The sequence below is a fragment of the Homo sapiens genome, chromosome 1 (genome assembly GCF_000001405.40).
Source record: "Homo sapiens chromosome 1, GRCh38.p14 Primary Assembly".
Taxonomy (NCBI): domain Eukaryota; kingdom Metazoa; phylum Chordata; class Mammalia; order Primates; family Hominidae; genus Homo; species Homo sapiens.
This window is the reverse complement of record NC_000001.11, coordinates 38552378-38572482: the sequence shown is the minus strand read 5'-3', so window position 1 is coordinate 38572482 and position 20105 is coordinate 38552378. Positions and strand designations below refer to the sequence as shown.

The 20105-nt window shown below is 49.0% G+C and overlaps 4 annotated features.

Moving 5' to 3' along the window:
- Positions 3490-4097: an enhancer, noted in NCBI's record as "H3K4me1 hESC enhancer chr1:39034058-39034665 (GRCh37/hg19 assembly coordinates)". NCBI's record gives its function as "activates a minimal SCP1, AML or CMV promoter by ChIP-STARR-seq in naive H9 embryonic stem cells {active_cell/tissue: H9 hESC(naive)}" and the evidence as "EXISTENCE:reporter gene assay evidence [ECO:0000049][PMID:30033119]".
- Positions 12422-13037: an enhancer, noted in NCBI's record as "H3K4me1 hESC enhancer chr1:39025118-39025733 (GRCh37/hg19 assembly coordinates)". NCBI's record gives its function as "activates a minimal SCP1, AML or CMV promoter by ChIP-STARR-seq in primed H9 embryonic stem cells {active_cell/tissue: H9 hESC(primed)}" and the evidence as "EXISTENCE:reporter gene assay evidence [ECO:0000049][PMID:30033119]".
- Positions 13339-13428: an enhancer, noted in NCBI's record as "active region_797". NCBI's record gives its function as "activates an Ori minimal core promoter by ATAC-STARR-seq in GM12878 lymphoblastoid cells {active_cell/tissue: GM12878}" and the evidence as "EXISTENCE:reporter gene assay evidence [ECO:0000049][PMID:35858748]".
- Positions 15656-16855: an enhancer, noted in NCBI's record as "BRD4-independent group 4 enhancer chr1:39021300-39022499 (GRCh37/hg19 assembly coordinates)". NCBI's record gives its function as "activates an origin of replication core promoter dependent on BRD2, P300/CBP, MED14 and CDK7 cofactors, and independent of BRD4, by STARR-seq in HCT116 cells {active_cell/tissue: HCT116}" and the evidence as "EXISTENCE:reporter gene assay evidence [ECO:0000049][PMID:35650434]".

Sequence of the window (20105 nt, the reverse complement as noted above, 5' to 3'; positions counted from 1 at the left end):
GAACAGGGTAGTCTCTAGGGAGGACAGCTGTACCCAGCAGACAATGCGGTGACAAGAGCAGGAGGGCAGAGTGGGAAACACTCAGTGTGTCGGAGCCAGGTCTTAGTTCTCCATTTGGTCACCGTCCAGCAGGGGAGACAGGCCTGCACACGACTGGGGTCAGAGGTGGCAACTATGACAAAGGCTACGGCAGCAGCCGGAAAGAGTGCAATGGGGGGCTAGGGGTGAGAGAGGGAAAGTAATCCCAAATGAAGGGACTGGGGAGGTTGTATAAGGGTTGATTCACTCTGAGTCTTAGAGCACTGCAAGAATTTATTCAGGCAGAGAGCCAGGGGTGACCAGCACAGGGTACAGGGCACACTGGGGGCCCTGGGGTGCTCTACCAGCCTGCTCTGCTGGCTCTTTCCCTGCCGAAAGATGTCAGCCGTCAGGTGCTGTTAAACTCCAGCTGGACAAAACCCGCTGGATGGGAGAGTGGGGCGTAACTTGGCTGGAAGCAAAGGTGTTGGGAAGGGTTCAGCCTTTGTTCTGACACCAGCTCCTGCCTTGGCAGAGGATGTTGCTTCAGGAGGCTGTCCTGGAACTGCCTCTCCCTCAACTCTGTTTCAGGACTTCCCAGCCAAAGAGGATTTTTTTTTCTTTTTGCTATAAAACAGCTTCCTTGTTTATTGTAAGTCTGTAAAACCTCTCCTGATGGGGAAAGAAGTGTGCAAGTGTTTAAAAAATGATTCCAAGAAGAGCTGGCATTTGAATGAGGACTTGCTGACCCAGCTTCAGAACTGGATGGGGCTGTAGAGGTGGCTGCAGCCAGCCCCTGATTTGAAGGCAGGAAGCTATTATCCCTTTTCTATTGATGAGGAAACTAAGGCAAAGAGGTTAAATGCCTGTGCGAGGTCTCCCAGTGATGATTATTGAAGCCAGAATCCCAGCCCCAGTCTGTCAGGCATAGTGGTGGAGGTGACATTTGAGCTAGATTTTATTGTTGGGAGGATTCCAACTTGCAAAGATGGGAAGGGAAAGATTTTAGGCTAAGGGGTCAGGATGAACAAAGGTGGGGAGCAGGTGACAGTGACAGCCATCCTATGTTAAAATGAGCTGACATTTTTTTGGAGCCAGGCCAGGTTTTTTAGTGCTTTACTTGTATTAGCTCATTTAATTCTAACAACGACATTATAAAATAGATATGATGGGCCGGGCGCAGTGACTTACGCCTGTAATCCCAGCACTTTGGGAGGCCGAGGCGGGTGGATCATGAGGTCAGGAGTTCGAGACCAGCCTGGCCAACATGGTGAAACCCTGTCTCTACTAAAATACAAAAGTTAGCCGGGCATGGTGGCGCATACCTGTAATCCCAGCTACTCCGGAGCTGAGGCAGGAGAATCGCTTGAACCCGGGAGGCAGAGGTTGCAGTGAGCTGAGATCGTGTCATTGCACTCCAGCCTGGGTGGCAGAGTGAGACTCCATCTCAAAAATGAAAAAAAAGAAAAAGGTGTGATGAATCCCATTTTTTGGATGATAAAACTGAGGCACAGAGAGGTGAAGTGATGTGTGTGAGGTCACATACCTGTGAAGTGTCAGAGCTGGGACTTGAGCCTAGGAAGCCTTGCTCCAGGGTCTCCCAGTTTAGCTACCATCACTAGTGTCACTTACCTGCTGGGCGCCTCCCATGGTGCTGCTGCGTGCCTTGCTAAATGCATTTCCTGCATTGCTGCATTTCGTCCTCATAAAGAACACTAAGGGTAGACATGGCTATTACTACCATTTGACAGATGCAGACATTGAGGCTCAGAGAGGTTAAGTACCTTGCCCAAGGTCAAGCTTTGCCTCCCATCCTGGAAGTTATTTCTGAGGCGATCCCACTTCATTGAGAAAAGCCCTGCATTTCCCACAATTTCGTATTCCCAGATCAATTGCCCCCCGGCTTGCCACAAAGGCCCGCGACGCCACTAGATTAGTTTTAAGGTTTTCAATAATTCTGCGAAGAGACAGAGCAGCATAAAGCGAAGCTAAAAATATCATTTTTCTGTAGCTGTCATAACAACATTTGGGCTAATTGATTCTCAATAGAATAATGACATCCAGTGTGTAGTGAGAAATATTCATGAAGAGATCTGTGAAACCCTCGAGGTGCTGGGCTGTGCTGGCAGCCCAGGACAACTCCGGGATGTGTCCGTGTAGACGCCTGCGCCCGGCCTGCCCCGCGGTGGGTGAGGCCTGACCGCGCCAGCCAGCGCTGCAGCCTCTGGGACTGTCTTAGGACATCAAAGTGTTTTAGTCACTGAGGACTGGGGCTCCCAACCCCCGAGGCTGCTTTAATCAGAGAAAGGTGATGAAAAGATTAGAGGGTATGATTTATGGAGAGAGATTAGCATCAGAGGAGTCGAGGGGGAGAAAAGAGAACTCTCTCAAAGTAGTTGAGATAACAAAGGCTGCGGAGGCGCGAGGGGGGAAGGCGGGGAGGCAGCTGTGGGCTGGATCCTGAGTCTCCACTGGACCATGGGGCCGGAGGGTACTGTTGGGGTGAAAGGAAGGATAGGGAAGCACCTCAGGGTCTGAGGCTGCCCAGTCCAGCCTCCACCCGCAGAGCTGCTCCCGGCTGCATGCCAGTCTCAGGATGGCTCAGGCTCCAAGGGCATTCCTGGAAAAGCTGCCTTTGTGGGACCTTTCCACAGGGCTGCCCAGGGAAAGGAGGCCAGGCTTGGGGTCTTTGGGGTCGTGTGTTTTGGGGGGTGTCTTGGCCTGGTGAGATGGTCTCCAGGCTAGAATCTGTGATGCTCACGTGTGTTTTATGACCAGTTCCAGGCATGGGTCCCACAGAGGAACACGTTGTTTGCAGGGTGTAGGTGTGCACATGCTTACGTGTGTGGGGGGCACACACAATACTCAAATTTATTAAGTCCTGATATGTACCAGGTACAGTTTTAAGGGCTTAACATGCCTGAACTCACTTCATCCTCTCAGCAGCCTTCTGAGGCAGGGAGTCTTGCTATTCCTCTTCTGTAGAAAAGGGAAATTGAGACTCAAAGAGTTTAACTCTACCAAGTCACACAGCTACGAGGTGGCAGGGCTGGGACTGGGGCCCATAACTGTCCAGCACCCAAAGTCCACAGGATGCTAGAGGGAGGGGAAGCGAGACGGCAGAGGTGTGTGGAGATGTCAGGGGGAGAGGCTCCTCTGGTTTGTGTTTGAGGTCTGAGGTATGTGTCTTCTGAGTACACTGTGAGGTGTATCCCTGTGTGCACCCTGTGGAATGCTCCATGTGTGCTGGCTGTGTGTTTTGAACACATGCATGTAGAATGAATGTGGAGGGTGCTGAGTGTGTCTGTGTCTGTGGGCAGGCCCTGCGAGGGGCAGAAAGCAGCCCTCCTCGACGGAGTGCTGTGCCTCGTATCAGGTGCTCCACATTCCGATCCTTAACTGCCCCAGGTTTCACTGGTCATCAGGTCGTAATGCCACCCTTCCACCATCACAGCCCTGAATGCACCCTCGCGCTCCCACCTGCCCTTTCACGATCTCACCCTCTTACTTCTGGAAGCCCTCTGGGGTGTCTTTTGTGAGGCGGGTAATTGTTCTCTGATGTTCTGCTTCTCCAAACTCCTCCAGGAATATCTGCAGCCTGGAACTGGCAGAGGCTGCTGGGCCCCCGCAAGATTGCTAGAATTCACCCTGAGGGAAGTGCCCTGGTGTGCAGACCCACAAGCAGCACCAGATTCCATGCTGCACGAGGGCAGGGCTGCATCTCCGGCTCACCACTCAACCTCAGCACCAAGCACAGGCCTGGGAACATAATAGCTGCTCAATAAATAGATGCTTTATATTTCCTGGAAATGCCACTGCCTTAAACCATCCTGTGTCACATTTTGTAACTTGGTGTGTGAAAATGGCTCTTCACCTTCATTCTGCCTGCTGCTTAGTCCCTCAACAGGGATCAGATGCCAGACAGCCCCAAAGACCAAGATCTGAGACCAATGTCTTGTTTACCTTCCCATTCCTATAGTCAAAACCTTATGCAAATTTGCTCCTTGTAGAGCTGCCCACCAATTCACTAATACATTACTAATGGCTAATAATTCATGGCAAACATTTACTAAGCACTGGTCAAGTTCCAGACACTGTGCTAAGCTGTTAATGTGAGTGATGGCTTTTCAGTGCAAAGCAGCCCCGCGAGTTAGGCACTGTTTTTATCTCCATTTTACTGGTGAGGAATCTGAAGCTCAGAGATGTCAAGTAAACTTCCCAGAGTCACACAGCAGGTGAATAAGTGCAGGATCTGGGAGTTGAACCCAGGTGGTCTGACTTGCTTTTGACCACTGTATAGCATTAGCTTCAGATCACTCTGAATTCCAGCTAAATGAGGCCTGAGTGAAGAATCTTGATACTCATAGGTCATTAGCTTCATGTAAAAAAAAAAAAAAAAACAAAAAACAACCAAAAAAAAAAACCTTTGATGTATTATCCTGGTTTTACAGAGGAGGAAACTGAGCTCAGAGCAGTTAAGTAACTGCCAGCAGTCACACAACTATTAAAGAGGCTGAGCTAGGATTGGAACCCAGATCTGCTAGGCCCAAAGCCTCATTTCCCATGCTGTGCCATCCTCTGGAGGAGTGGAGATGGTCCTTGGCCACAAGGAAATGGGTGAAAAGTAAGGAAGGGGACCTGCCAATTAAAGATATGCAGTTTGGAGGTGGGTACCAGGGTCTCGGAAGAAAATATAGAAATCCAAGCATCCTGAGAGACCTCGGCAAAGGGGGCAGGTGACCTGTCATATATAAGGGGGCATTCAGAGTTGCCGATGCCCACATCACAGGCATGTTTTGCACTTTGGCCCTTCAGCAGGGAGTTCCTAAATTCTTTCCACATTACACGCTCCCATGGGATAAGAAGTCACTAGGACACTGTCCACAGGCATCTCTTTGTCCTGGGAGGGGTAGAGCCTCCACACTAACTGGATGGTCATTATAAACAGAATATGGCATCTCTATCTAGAGATAGCATGTGATCAAATAAAAAAGGAAAAAAAAGGTTTTGACTCGTACAAATCCAGGCCCTGCTGTTCATTAGCTGTGTGATGGTGGGCCAGGCACACGCCTCTGAGCCTCGGTTTCCTGGTGCATAAAATGGGGATATTAAGGCTTTCCCTTCCCACCTAGCAGGGCTGGTGGCGGTTGTGGGGGGCAGCAGTGGAGGGTGTGGAGGCCTTTGCTCTTGTTGCTGTGCAAATGTGTGCCACTGGATGCACCAGAATGTGAAGAATCCAGCCGGGTGCCGTGGCTCACGCCTGTAATACCAGTACTTTGGGAGGTTGAAGCAGGTGGATAACCTGAGGTCAGGAGTTCAAGACCAGCCTGGCCAACATGGTGAAACTCCATCTCTATTAAAAATACAAAAATTAGCCGGGCATGGTGGCAGATGCCTGTAGTCCCAGCTACTCAGGAGGCTGAGGCAGGAGAATCGTTTGAACCTGGGAGGCAGAGGTTGCAGTGAGCCAAGATCACGCCATTGCAACCCAGCCTGGACAACAAGAACAAAACTCCATCTCAAAAAAAAAAAAGTGAAGAATCTGGTCAGGGAAGGCAGCTTAGCAGAGGAAGGGAGTGGAGAAGGCATGGAAAGACATTTCTCAAAGGAATACAATCTACGGGGTCAGGTCAACATGGAAGTCCTCTCTCTAGCCTGTGCTGAATCCAGCAGTACAGAGCTTCTGTATCAGAAGGTAGAGATGTTTTTGTGTCCCAAGATGAGCCATTTTCATCACTCATTCATTCATTCATATATCTAGTCTTTGAATCAATGTTTATTGATAAGGCATATATGGGAGACATTGGGCCAAATATTGTCAGGACCCTGGAGGTGAAGCAGACAGGGACCTGACATACTTGGGGAGATAAGATACACACATAGTTACTATGATATGAGGCACAGGGTGGCATCAGTCGTCATCAGATGGGTACAGATAATATCCTGTGGGAGTTCATAGTTGGGGGACACCACTTTCAGCCCATGAAATCAGGGAATGCCTCCTGGAAGAAGTGGCATTTAGAATGCACAAGCAGCCCTGAAGGATGTAAGTTTATGTATATTCTTTTTTTTTTTTTTTTTTAATGAGATGGAGTCTCCATCTGTCACCCAGGCTGGAGTGCAGTGGTGTGATTTCAGATCACTGCAACCTCCACCTCCTGGGATCAAGCAATTCTCCTGCCTCACCCTCCCCAGTAGTTGGGATTACAGGTGCGCACCACCACACCCAGCTAATCTTTACATTTTTAGTAGAGATGGGTTTCACCATACTGGCTAGGCTGGTCTTGAACTCCTGACCTCAAGTGATCCACCTTCCTCAGCCTCCCAAAGTGCTGGGATTACAGGCATGAGCCACTGTGCCCGGCCGATGTAAATAAATTGCGGTGCCAGAGATGAGTCTTCCAGGGAGATTGTACTCCATGCATTTGAACACAGCATAACGTATATGCGCACACAGCATAGTAATGTATATGCACACAGCATAATAATCATAACAGCAACAATAACAACAACAAGGTGTGTATGGAGAATGAAGCGGAGGATTCTGACCCCCATTTCACTCAAGGAGAAGCACAGGATGGGAGATGGATCCTGCAGTTTCCCCAATGGCTTTTAGGCTCTCTGTGCCTCTCTTCCTGTGAGTATCACCCTGAGGGTGATTCTAGTGTTCAAAGACATGCATCCTTTATGTAACGTGGCCCCTCAAATCAAGCCAACAACCTCATCTGGTGCTTAACCCAAAGAAAAGCGATTTGTTCTGACGCTGAAGGAAAACCCAGCTGTGTTGGACTCACCGAGAGATGGTATATTGGTCTCCCTCCTAAAGGATGTGTAAGGATAATTTTGACCATGCTTGGTTTTTCCCTTTATTCGCGGACTTTAAACACCATCTCTACATCACACAGATGACTGTTGTGGGAGCGGTGCAGCACGGGCATGGTGGCGGGTACAGCTGGGATATTCAGGGAATGTAATTAGAGGGCTCCATGACTGCTAAGGGCCCACTGGATTCCAAGAGCTCGTGAGCCGGCTGTGATCTTTGGAATCCTCATTAGAAATTCTCTCCAGAGCCTGGGGCATATGCTTTTGCTCGTCTTTAATAATGGCAAATCTTCATGCTTTGAGGTTGGATTTGATTTCGGGAAACAACCACAAGAGGCATTTGGAGCCCAGCCTGGTGGAAGAACAAGCTGGAAAATGTGCTTCTGGTTAAATGGGAGGTGTGACTCTAATTGGCACAGGGGGGTGCCAAGTGCAGGTAGAAGCCAGAGCAGGAAGCTCCAGGGGAAGCTCCGGAGTTGCTGCAGGGAATGCCAACCTGGGGGCAGGCAGAAAGGGAATTCTGCCATCCTCTGGCTTGGGCACATTTGGCACTCCACCAGCTTGACTGGACTTTGTTTCCTGCCTGCAGCTCAGTTATAGACTCAGTGTTATGAATGGTTTAGAGGCCATTTTCAGAGTGTTTGGGTCCACTTGGAAGCTAGCAAGTGCACAGACCATGGTGGGGGCTGGCGGGGGAACATCCAGGCCTCTCTGTGAGCTCTCAGTGCTCACTCAATGAGAAGGCCCCTCCGGACCTCTTTAGTCAAATAGCTGGAGGTTCGCCAGAGGAAGGGTTGAGAGCCTTCATGCCTTCAGATCGTAGGCAGACCGCTAGACCCCATCCACGGGTCTGCCTGCCTGGGATACAAGATCTTCAGCAGCCCAGCTGAGCTGCCTTGATCTCCCTGCCAACTTCCCCATGACCCCTGGGCACAGTGACCAGAGGTGTTTTGTCCCACAGGGATTTGCACACCTGATCCTTCTTCCCTCCACCTCTGCCACTTGGGACTGTTGGCCTTATTCCACAGTGACCCTTCTGTGCCCACATCCTGCACCTACAAAAAGACATGCTTGTGGCTCCTTTCAGGGTGACTTGCTCACTGACTTCAAAGGCACTTCCCTTTGGAGAGCCAACTCTAAGCATTTGAACCACAACCCCAGCTTGCAGGGGGAGCATGTTTGGAGGAGGGCTGAGCACTTTCGTTAGAGTGTTTATTTTAAAGTCATCCCCAGATAGTCTGCAAATGGTGATCCACCCCAGTCTTCTTGTCCTAAGAGGCTGAACCCACAGGCTTTGGGCTCTGAAGACAAAGTGCAGAGTGAGCCATCAGAGGAGGAAGCAGGCTGGGGGCTCATACCCGTGACAACATACACTGCACACCCCCACGAATGTGCAGAGTGTGCTCTCTCCTCCCCACACCCAGCAAGCTCATACTCACCCACACCCACCTCCTCACACACATGCACACTCAACCTGCACAGGGCCACGTACCCACACACTCCCACCCCTCCCAAATGTCCTGCACATGGATAGTTACATCTCTTCCCAGCACAAATGCGCATAACCACAGGCTGTTCCCTGCACACTCCTGGAGGACACTGAGACACGGGGAGGAAATCTAAGAGTACCTTAGAAATGCCACTCTCTGCAAATGAGCTTTTAAGCAAAATGGTGTAAGAGAAAAAGTAGCGATCTGACAGTTCTACGAGTTGGGTTCAAGGGCAGGAATTGCCAGGTGTGAACCACGCATTCTTGTGCAAGTCCTTTCTCCGCGCCTTACTTTCCCTATCTCTAAAGTGGGCCTGATCATAGCCCCTTGCATGTAGGTGATTGTGAGCATAGAATGAACTAATGGAGGAGTGTGCTTTGCTTTCTACACTGCAAAGTACAAAAAATGCTCATCACCAGGGTCATCATTATAACTCCAACTGAGAAACGGGCCATGTGGAGATGACATGGACCTTCCTTATCTAGCCCATCCAAAAAAGAGTGGGCCATGCACTTTCATCTTGGTTGGGTACAGCCATTAGTCCCCACCTATCTGGGGCTGTGCCCCTTCCCGCAGCCTCTGGTTCAGGTGGCTCAGCACTCCTGACCCAGGAGATCTGAGATGTGTGGTGGAGGTGGAACTGGTCAGTGAGGACCCAGAAATGGCCAGGCGATTCCCAAAAGAACTTAACATAATCAATGCAGCATCTATTACAAAACATCTATATGCAAAGATGACTCTTGCCCCAGCAGATGAAAAAGTGACTATTGGCAAATCTCTGACAAATGTTTCTGGGATGTGAGGGCTTTGGGGAAGGTAAAGAGGGGAACAGAAAGGGGAGAGCCAGTGTTCTTTCACCTTCCAGAGAAAGGGTGTGGCTCGAGGCCTGGTGGTCCAGGGGCAAGAGGAAGTGGTGGGGGTCGGGGGAGGGGGACAAGGAGCAGCCAAGCAGGGCACTCACTTCAGAAAAGCTCCCAGGAAGGTGACATGGGTTGACCAGTGGCTGGAGGGGCATGCACTTGAATGATGTGTAGATTATGCTGCAAAGGAATGGATGGACCTTGACGCGCCATGGGCTTCCTGTAACTGCTTAAGAAACAAACAGTTCCAATAAAACTGGGGGGTAAGGAGAAAGGGTGGGATGGGATGGGTGATACACATTTAGTGGTTGGAAATTCAGAGAGAAGAACAGTTCTGCCTTCCAATGCCGAGAACTTTCCAAATGTGAGAGAACAGATGAGACTTGGAAGCAGGACTTGGGTATCATGTATTTGACAGAGAGAGTAGGAGAGGGATGAGCCCTTGGAGGTAGGATCCCCCAGAGTCTGTCCTTACAGGGGAGACTGAGGCCCCAAGGAGGAAAGGCTGTGACTAAGTCTTACAGTGAGTGAGAGTGGGGGTTCTCAGGACCATGGATGGCATTCAAGGTGGGTACATCGGCATATGCTGAAATTGTAGAGCAATGGGTGTATAGATAGGATAATTTTTTTTTTTTTTTTTTTTTTTTTTTTTTTTTTTTTTTTTTTTTTTTTTGCTAGGAGAAGGACTATCACTTTCATCATATTTCCAAAAGGTTGTAAGATTTCAAGCACGCAAGGAAGTATGATTACAGGCCAGAATGCCGGGGTTCAAATCCCAGCTCTGCCACTTTCTAACTGTGTGACTTTGGGCAAGTTACCAGCCCACCTGCATCTCAGTTACCTCATCTTTAAAATGGGAATAATAAAATCCTCACTCAAAAGGGTTGTCAATTAGATAAGATTGCAGGTGCCTTGCATATGGTTAACAAATAGTAGCTGTTTTATTCATTTATTTATTTATTTTCTGAGATAGGTCTCACTCCCTCACCCAGGCTGGAGTGCAGTGGCTCACTGCAGCCTTGACCTCCTGGGCTCAGATGATCCTCCCACCTCGTAGCTGTTATTTTTTACACTATCATATTATTATCTTAAGATATGATTCTCTTGAAGACAAGATGAGCACCTCTTGCTTGTACACGGGTGCAGTGAGTACTGGTGGGTGAGCTGTGAGTTCCAGGCAGGTCTGGCCCATGGAACTCGGGACACTGAGCCAGGGGCTGCTGACAGGCATGGCTGGGAGCAGCCCCACACCCACCGGGCAGTTTGTATGCAGCGGGTGTTGTGAGAGTGTGTCCCAGAGAGGCGAGGGCTGCTCCATAAGACTGATTTGTTGCTGCTGAACCTCATTAATCAAATCTTACCGGAGAGAGCCTCCTGCAGCTGCTGGCAGGTCAGCGTCAGGGAGATAAGTGATGTAGCCAGACCCAGCGAGGGGGAGAGATGAGGCGACCATAAGTCTTGACAGTGGCAGGCTCTGAAGCAGGAGCTCCGAGCCCATACGTCCTCAGTGCCTGGGGCGAATCTCTGAGCCAGGACAAAGTTCTTCCTCCCAAGGAACTCTCCGGAGAAATGGAGAGTCGGGATGGGACATGTGTTGGAGGAGCTTCTACGAAGCAGGGGCATTCATCCATGTGTTTTGAGACAAGTGAGTCAAAGATGACCCAAGACATCACTGGGGTCGTGGTCCTTCAGATCACTGGATTCCAGCAGGTGCCCCAGACAATTTCCCCAGCAACACCCATGGCCCCATTTCCAGCCCTGCTGACCAAGCAGTGTTCAAAGGAAACATTTCTGATATTGATCTCATCTGCTGCTGTGCAGTTGAACAAGTCGCTTCACCACTCGGAACCTCCGTTTCCTCATTGGTTACAACAACAGAACTGAGAAGTCTGTGCCAGGTACAGTTCTAGCTGCTTTACTTAATTCTCACTAACAGTTTTAGGATGTAGGTACCATGATCTTCCCATTTTACAGATCAGGAAACTGAGGTCACACATCTAGGGAGTATTGGTTCCCTCGTGGGGGTGGTCAGGGAACAGGCTCTTTGCTGGTTGTTCAAGTGGTGTGGTCTGATTGTCAAGGCACTCTGCAAGCAGTCCTGAATGAGTCTTAGGGGCCTCTGCCCCAATGAGATGAATGAGGCTGACAGCTAAGTTGATTGTCTACTTAGACAAAAGGGGCTGTTTCTACCTTCCTCGCAGGACAATTACTTATTCTCTGCTATAAAATGCCCCTGGTGCCAAGACCTGTGTTGGTAGAGGCAGTAAACCAAGCAGGTTTAGTTAAGGAGCCTGACTACCCAGCCCCGTCACTCACTCTCTAGCTGTGTGACCTTGGATCTTTATTCTCTGAGCCTTGATTTCCTATTCAAAAATAATAATAACCACTTCGATAAACCATTCTGAGGCTTAAGTGAAAACAAACAAATGAAACTTGTAAAGTAGTTGGAACAGTGCCAGACACATAGTAAGCACGTAATAATTTTTGTTGTTACTGGGGTCCCAGAGAGGAATCTACCTGATTGCTGCCCCAGGAGCCTTGTGACTCTGCTCCTGCCCATGGTGACCTAAGTCACATGCCCGCTATAGCCCCTTCCTTCTTTCCAGAACCTGTTCTCAGTGTTTTCACTCCCTAACCATCTCAGGCCTCTCTTCTTACTCTGTTTACCATTCCCGGGATTACAGGTTGTCTTCAGCCCTCGAAAGAGATGCACCCCCTTCCATGCACATATAGCATCCTCTGCAGCCTCAATAGCCGAAAATGGGGAAAATAATCCTCACGGCCCCAGCAGATGTGCAGGTAATAATACCGGGTTTTTTTTTCCACACTTAGTATGTGCGGAGTATCAAGCTACACACTTTACAAACATTAGCTCACATAATCTTGATGGCATCCTTGTGAGTTAGGTCCTGCTTTTAGGCCTGTTTTAGGGCTGAGGAAGCTCAGAGAGGTAAAGTAACTTTTCCAAGGTCACTCAGGTAGTGAGTGACAGAGCTGGGCTTCAAAACCTGGTGGCTGACTACGAAGGCCATCCCCTTAACCCTAATCCTAACCCTGGGGCTAAGCCCCCAGCACAAAAAGCTAAGGCCTACCTTAGGTACTCAGAAAATGTCGTTTCCTTTCCTCTGAACCCCACGCTGCATTGCAGAGGCCCCCACATTTACAGGGTTGGCTGAGCCTGAGTTCGGGAGTTGTTAACTTCTTAGTACTTCTCTCTTTGCCTCATTATGGGGTAAAACTGCATTTGGTTTTTAAAATTCCCTTTTTATTTAGTCGCTGTGAATGTTAAGAACTGCCAGTACTGGAAGCTGAGATCCCATCCATATGCCAGGTTTTAAATAGCAGACTAGAAACAAGTTTACACAGGAAGATCAAGCTCACCCCAAACATGCAGCCACTGCACTGTTCAGACAAGAAGCCCGTGCCCCCGCCCCGCCCCTCCCGCTCGCCCCCCGCCCCGCCCCGCCCGCTCGCCCCAGTCTTCCCACTTCAAACGATTTCGGAAAGTCATCCTTCTTGTGTTAGAAAAACATTGCTGAGTTCCGTCTGCTGCTCTTCATACACGAAGAAGGAAGTGGTGACCCAGGGATGGCAAGGTGTGCGGTGGTGTGTTTCTTTTCTTGGCAGTGGTGGCGGCCTCGCACGATCCAACCGCATTCACCCCGGAAGCCGCTTCCACCTCCCTGGAGTCAGAGGTGCTCTGACGTTGCCCTGCGCACCGAGCAACACGAAGCTGCAAGCGGAAGAATCGTACCGGACTTGACCTTCCTGATCTGCCAAAAAGCGCTCCGTGACCTTGGCCAGTGACTTCCCCTGCACCACTCTGAGACTCAGTTTCCTCCTCTGCAAAATGCACGTAGCAGAAGGAGCCCTGATGGTTAAGTGCCTGGACTCTGGGATCACACTGCCGGTGTCCAAAACTCTCAGCCCCGCAGCTTCCTGGCTAACTCCTGTCTCAGTCTCAGTTCCCCTCCCTGTAAAGCAGAGGCCCTAGTAGTGCCTGCCTTCTAGAGTATGTTGTCGTTGTCGTGAGGGTTAAGAGCCACGGCGCTAAGCATTGAAAACGGGGGCCTGAGATGCGGTGAATAGCAGCAAAACACCAGTTAGGATCACCAGCCTGGGACTGCCTACCTCTCCACGTCCTTATGGGGGTGGCGGAGATTCAAGGCATGAGGGCCGCCAGCCCAGGACTTGGCACTTGCTCCAAAACCTCATGGCTGCACTCAGATCTGAAGTGGATCTCCACAGTCGGGGCGCAACGTGAGACCTGGTCCTCTCCCAGCCCATCCTTTTTACCGGCCTGAACTCACTGGGGCCTGTCCAGGCGGCTGGGAGGGGGCGGGGTTGATCTATGGGCTGGGTAACCTGCCTGGGGGAAGGGAGGGGGCCTCTGACCCGAGGGGTAAATCATGGACTTCCCCCAGGGCCCGTCAGTTCCCCAGGAAAGAAGCCCTGGGTATTTGTTATCTCAATGTTTCCCCTGAGGGGCTGACCACATGATTCATTTCACTCACACTAATTGGATGTAAATTAGATGAGAAATCAGTAATTTGTCCAAAGATTTGTCATTCCCATGGCTTTCCAGGCAGAGCAAAGCACTGGTCCTGCGAAGGCGCCCCCAGCTGTAAGGGAGGCAGAAGCCTGGCCTCTTCAGAGGAGACGATGAGCTGCTTCCTGGTGGCTCCTGTGTTTGCATTTTTTAAAAGAGGAGGGAGCTAAGGTGAAGATAGAAGGGGGCTGGGGAGAAGAGTAATGGAGGGGGGGAAAGGAGGTGAGAGGGAGAGGGGGAGGAGGAGGGGAGTTGGGGACGAGGGAGAGAACAGGAGAGGAGAATCAGAGCTTTCTCTGGCTGCTTTTGGCCGGCTGGAGGGGTGGAGGAACCTTCAGGTAATGTTATTTACCATCAATAGGAAAAAGGATTACTCCAGGCTTCTTTCCTTACAACAATATGCTAATCAACCCCTTGGGCCCACAAGGGTCTGGGAAGCCAGGCAGCTGCCTCTGTCGCATCTCTAGGAGCATGGCCACTGATTTAATGAGGGGGAGGGCAGGGCTCCGCTGGGCTCCTGGGAGTGGGATCAGACAATGACTGGGGGTGGGTGGCCGTCAGGGCAGCGTGGAAGAAGCGGGTCTGACCAGGGCGCCTGCGTGGAGAGGAATGGCAGCAGCCAGGGCTCCCCACCACCCCCAGTGCTGCTGCAGGGTCAGGTGAGAGCAGCTGCTCATGTTCTATTTATTAGAGAGACAGAGTCCCCTGAAGAAGGGTGGAAATGTAAATATTTTAAAAAATGAATCCGAGGCTTGAGTCAAGGGCATAAAGGAAGGGAGGGAAAGTGCTGAGTTTGGCAGGTAGAAAAAGGCGGGGAGGTCAGAAAAGGGTCAGAGGGTTCACTGGCCTGAAGACCCCTTTGAAGTAGTTGTATCCTAACTGTGACCCCAGCTCAGAGCTGGGGAATGCTAAGGTGGGATCCCTGCCCACCCTTCTGGAAGAGAGGCCGTAAGCTTCACTGCTGAAGAAAAGAGGAGGCTGTCTGGACTCCAGAAAGTGGGCCTCACCTGGCCAAGGAAGCTAAAGAGCAGAGGCAGAGGGCAGAGGCCCTGGACTCAGAGCAGAGGCTGGGGTATCATACAAGGTCAAGGTCCCTGCAGCAAGGCAGGGTCAGGGATGGGGTCTGAGGTGTTGAGGCCTTGAGTTAGAAAAGACTCATTATTATGTGCTCATTCATTCATTTCAACATTCCATGTGTATTTATTAAACTGTTACTGTTTGCCAGCCGTGGTGCTAGGTGCAGGATGAGCCAAACAGACTTGATTCCTGAAGCCTTGAAGCAGAAGCAAGTCTAGGAGGGGAAGTAGACACAAATCAAATAATTGTGCACATCCATGTGTGACGATAAACTATGCTGAGAGCCATGCAAGAAAGGAGCACAGGGCTTTGATAGCCCGGGACAGAGGAACTGGACCCAGTCTGAGAGGTGGGGATGTCATTGGGAGTGGGGGAGGGAAATAATGCTAAGATAATCAATTCAAAGTGATAAAAGGGTAATTCACAAGGAGAAGCATTGACCTTGCTGCTCAAATCTTGTTGGGGATGCATGTGAGTGTGTGGGACAAGGAGCGAGTGAGCGTTTTGAAATATCTTGTGAGAGTGCATACACAAGAGCTTATGTCTATGTGGGGCAGGGAATGCGCTTTTCTGGATGATGTATGCTGATTGTTTTGGGGTGTATTTCAAAGCAATATAAGCAGCAGCAACTGGAATCTGGGGTGGCCTAAAGAGGATCCCCATGTCTACCTCTTCACTTCACATCCCCAAATTTGAGAAAGAAAAGGAGAAATCAGTCCTTCCCTTCAGTTTCAACCTTTCTATGATTCTGGGTATGTTCCTTGTGGTTGTGTGGCTGAGAATACCAGGCCCATGCTTAGTGTGGTTCAATCAGGGTTTCCTGTCCTCCCCAAAACGCTCCTTCAATTCTTTGTTTTTACTCTCTCCTTCTTTGTTTAATAATTTATATTTGATTGAGTTTATTAAGTGCCCAGGACTGGTAAGCCCTTCAAATAGGTTATTTTATTTGGTGGGTACTTGTTTCCCCATTTTACAGATGAGAACATGGAAGCTGAGAGAGGTCAAGTGACTTCTCCAAGGTCATGCTGGAAGAGCAGAGACACCAACTCCAAACTGACAACCTCTGACTCCCAAGTGCCTGCTCCTAACCCCTTCCATCCTTTCCCCCGTCTCTTGCTTCCTTCCTTTCTTCTTTCTCTTCCTTCTGGGCTTCTATAAACATCTACAAGCTTGTGATGAATTAGAGGCTGGTTATTCACATTACACCATGGCTCTCTGCTTTACACAAGTGTGGTTTCATAATGAGGATCTGATTCATGCACTGCTTTTAGGGACACCTATATCCGCATCCCATTGCCAAGTTCCTCAGCAAATGTCAAGGTGTTGAGGGAGAATCATCGACATTTCAGAGTTGGAAGTACAACCCCCCTTATTCCACAGAGACAAAGTAACTGAGGCCCTGCGAGGAGAGAAGGCCTGTGAAGGACAATGATACTCACTGCTGTGGTGGAAGCCAGGCAGGCCCCTTCTGACCCCTGCTGTGCTCCAGCCGGCACACCCGACTTCCCTCTGAGGAATCTGGGCGTCCCTCAGTGGACGCAGTAAAAAGCTTCTCCAAGTCGACGTAGAACCTGGACCAGCACAGGCAAAGGCACCGCCAACCATTCTGAAAGTTCTGACATAACTCCCAGGCCTCAGGCTGCCAAGGCAAGTTTTCTGTCTTCAGATGAATAAGCTGCTGTCTCCACTGTTGTGGAGGATGATACTCACACTTAAGGGGCCATATTTCTACCCTGTTGATTAGAGGACAGGGAAGGGGAGCTGAGAGATAAACACAACTAAGCAATGCAACACCCTCTTTCCCTCCCCTTTCCCTCCAGTAACCCTGCTGGTTGTGGCTGCGGCTATAAGAGTATTGGCTGTGACTTTCACTGATGCCCTTAGGGACACCTGCTGATATGAGAGTCTGAAGCTCTGTGGTCAGACAGGCTTGGGTTCCAAACCAGGTCCTGACACACAAGAGCCTCAGCTGCCCCATCTATAAAGTGGGAATAATAGCCCTGCCATCTGCTTCTCAGAGTTGTTGGGAGAATCAACCAGAGTTGCAATAAACACAAAGCAAGTGGTACTGTGTCTGGCAAAGTGGGAAAATTTAATGAATTAAGGCAGGTAGAAGACCTAGCACTGGTCCTGGCACATCTGGGGAGTTCATTAATTGTGAGTTCCTCCTTCCTCTCCTTTCCCAGGCTGGACCCTGAACCTCGGTAATCAGGAAAAGAACCTGGGGGCCTTCTGTCTCCCCCACACCCCTTTTTAACATTTTGAAACAGAATATAACATAAAATTAACCATTTTAAAGCATAAGTTGAGTGGCATTTAATGCCTTCACAATATTGTGCAACCACCATCTATATCAAGTTCCAAACATTTTTTGTCGCCTCAAAAGGAAACCCTTTGCTCCTTAGCAGTCACTCCTATTCCTCCACACCACCCCCAAGACCCTGGCAATAACCGGTCTGCTTTTTGTTTCTGTGGATTTACCTATTCTGGATATTTCATATAAATAGAATCTTACCATATGTGACCATTTGTGTCTGGCTTCTTCACTTGGCATAATGTTTTCAAGGTTCACCCCCCTTGTAGCACGTATCTGTATTTCATTCCTTCTGATGACCGAATAATATTCCATTGTATGGATATGCCACATTCTGTTTGTCTGTTCAAACACTGATGGACATTTTGGTTGTTCCCATCTCTCATTATTGCAAATAGTGCTGCTATAAACATTTATGTACAAGTATTTGAGTGCCTGTTTTCAAATATTTTGGGTATATACCTAGAAATAGAATTGCTGGACTTTACAGAAATTCTATCTTTAACTTTTTGAGGAACCACCAAACTGTCTTCCATAGAGGTTGTACCATTTTACATCCCCACCAGCAGTGTACAAGGGTTCCAGTTTCTCCACTTCCTCATCAGCGCTTACTATTTACCATTTTTTATGGACATCTTAGTTGGTGTGAAGTGGCATCTCAGTGTGGTTTTGATTTGCATTTCCCTAATGACTAATGATGTTGAGCATCATTTCATGTGCTTCTTGGCCATTTGTATATCTTTTCTGGAGAAATGGCTTTTCACGTCTTTTCCCCATTTTCAAATTGGGCTGTTTTGTCTTTTTTGTTTTTGAGTTGGCTACACCTCCAAGGAATGTTGGTGAATAATGGGTAGTGGGTAATATCTAGAACAAAACTTTCAGGGTCACCTCACCACTAGACTCAGTTGTCAAAAGCCAGGACTGTAGGCTGGGTGCAGTGGCTCATGCCTGTAATCCCAGCACTTTGGGAGGTTGAGGCGGGCAGATCATGAGGTCAGGAGTTCGAGACCAGCCTGGCCAACATAGTGAAACCCCATCTCTACTAAAAATACGAAAGTTAGCCAGGTGTAGCACGTGCCTGTAGTCCCAACTACTGGAGAGGCTGAGGCAGGAGAATCTCTTGAACCCAGGAGGCGGAGGTTGCAGTGAGCCAAGACCACGCCATTGCACTCCAGCCTGGGTGACACAGAGAGGCTCCATATCAAAAAAAAAAAAAAAAAGAAAAGAAAAAAAAAAAAGCCAAGACTGTTCTGGCCAAATCAAGATGTCTGGACATCATATTTTTATTTCTATTAGCGCACTGTAGGCAGAATAGGGACTTGTTGAAGGAGTTTGGAGTTGCGTGGAACTGGGCTTGAAGGAGTTTGGAGTTGCATGGAACTGGGCTTTAATTCCAGCTCCTCTGCCTTCACCTGCTGTGTACCAGTGCATTGGTGACAGTCCCAGAGTCAGTGTCCTTGTCTGTAGAATGCTTCTGAGGGTTGCTGGCAGATTCTATCAGCATTGGGATGAACACAAAACATGTGGCATCATGTCTGACAACCAGAAGGTGCTCAAGAAATGGGCACTCCCTTCCCTCCTTTTTCACTTTTCCTCTTATCCAACCTTCTCTTTTCCTCACCTTATTCCTTACTAAGGCACATGTAGATTTATGGAGGGTCAGGAGGGCAGGGGTGGAATGCAGCCACAAGTTGAAGCAGGCTCAGATGTTTTCTGGGGAGGGGCTCACCCAGAAGCTGGAAGGATTGGTAGGTACCAGGAGTCCGGCTTTCAGTTTGGGGAGTGGGACATCTTGGAATTGCAGGTAAGAGAAACAGGAAATACTCCTGGCTCCTCTGCTGGCCTAGTTACTAGCTAGCTATGGATACCCAAAGGGGATAAAATTAATGGGTTTCCAGATATTGCTCTTCAGATCCAAAATCCAAGCGCAGAGCTTCTAGACCAACAGTTGGATTGAATTGACCATCAGATCAGACATTTGTTGACTCAGGGTGGGCCCTTGGCTCTTGCAAGAAAATTGAATTTTAGAGTTACAAAAGTTTTGCTTTTTAAAAATTTTAGTTTGTTTGTTTTTATCTTTGACTCCATGGGTCAAACTCAAATAGGACATTATATTAGAAAAAAAAATACCAACAACTAATAAGTCTATTGAGTGCTTACCATGTAGCAGGCTTCTTACATTTATTAACTCAACCTTTGTAACAACCCTATTGCTATTAACTGAATTGTGTCCCCCAAAATTCATATGTTGAAACCTTAACTCCCCATGTTGCTGTATTGTAGGTAGGGTCCGTAATAAAGTGATTAAAGGAAGTCCTAACAGTGTAGCCCTGATCTGCCATATGAAGATACAGCAAGAAAGAAGGTGGCTGTCCAAGCCAGGAAGGTAGCCCTCAACCAGAACCCAGCCATGGTGCCACCTTGATCTCAGACTTTCGGCTTCCAGAACTGTGAGCAAATACAATTGAGGTGTCTAGGCCACCCAGTTTATGGCAGCCTGAGCTGACGAACACACCTAGGAGCTAGGTATGTTTACGATTCCCACTTTACATCTTTTACATAGACGTTAAGTCACTTGACCAAGGCCACACAGCTGGTAAGTGTCAGAACCAGAATTTGGACCATGGATGTCTGGCTCATGAGACAGAACCCTGAGGCAAAAGTCACCTCAAGAACCACATAGCAGGGGAATTAGCCAGAGGATCAAAGTCACTCTCTCTGCTACCTGCAACAAATGGTGTTGACTCCTGCTCAAAGTCTTTTGTCTAGGAGAAATGGAGAAGAGACGGGGGGCCACTTGCCAGTTAACTCCCAACACAAACCATGAGTGGTGCACTGCAGTTGGTAGGAGTGCCAGCTCCTGAGAGCCAATTATGTGCATCTTTTCCCGACTCTGTATTCAGTGACATCATGTTGGTAGGTTGACATTCACCATAGTGGGAGTATTTACACCACAGATATTGGAAAACACTATA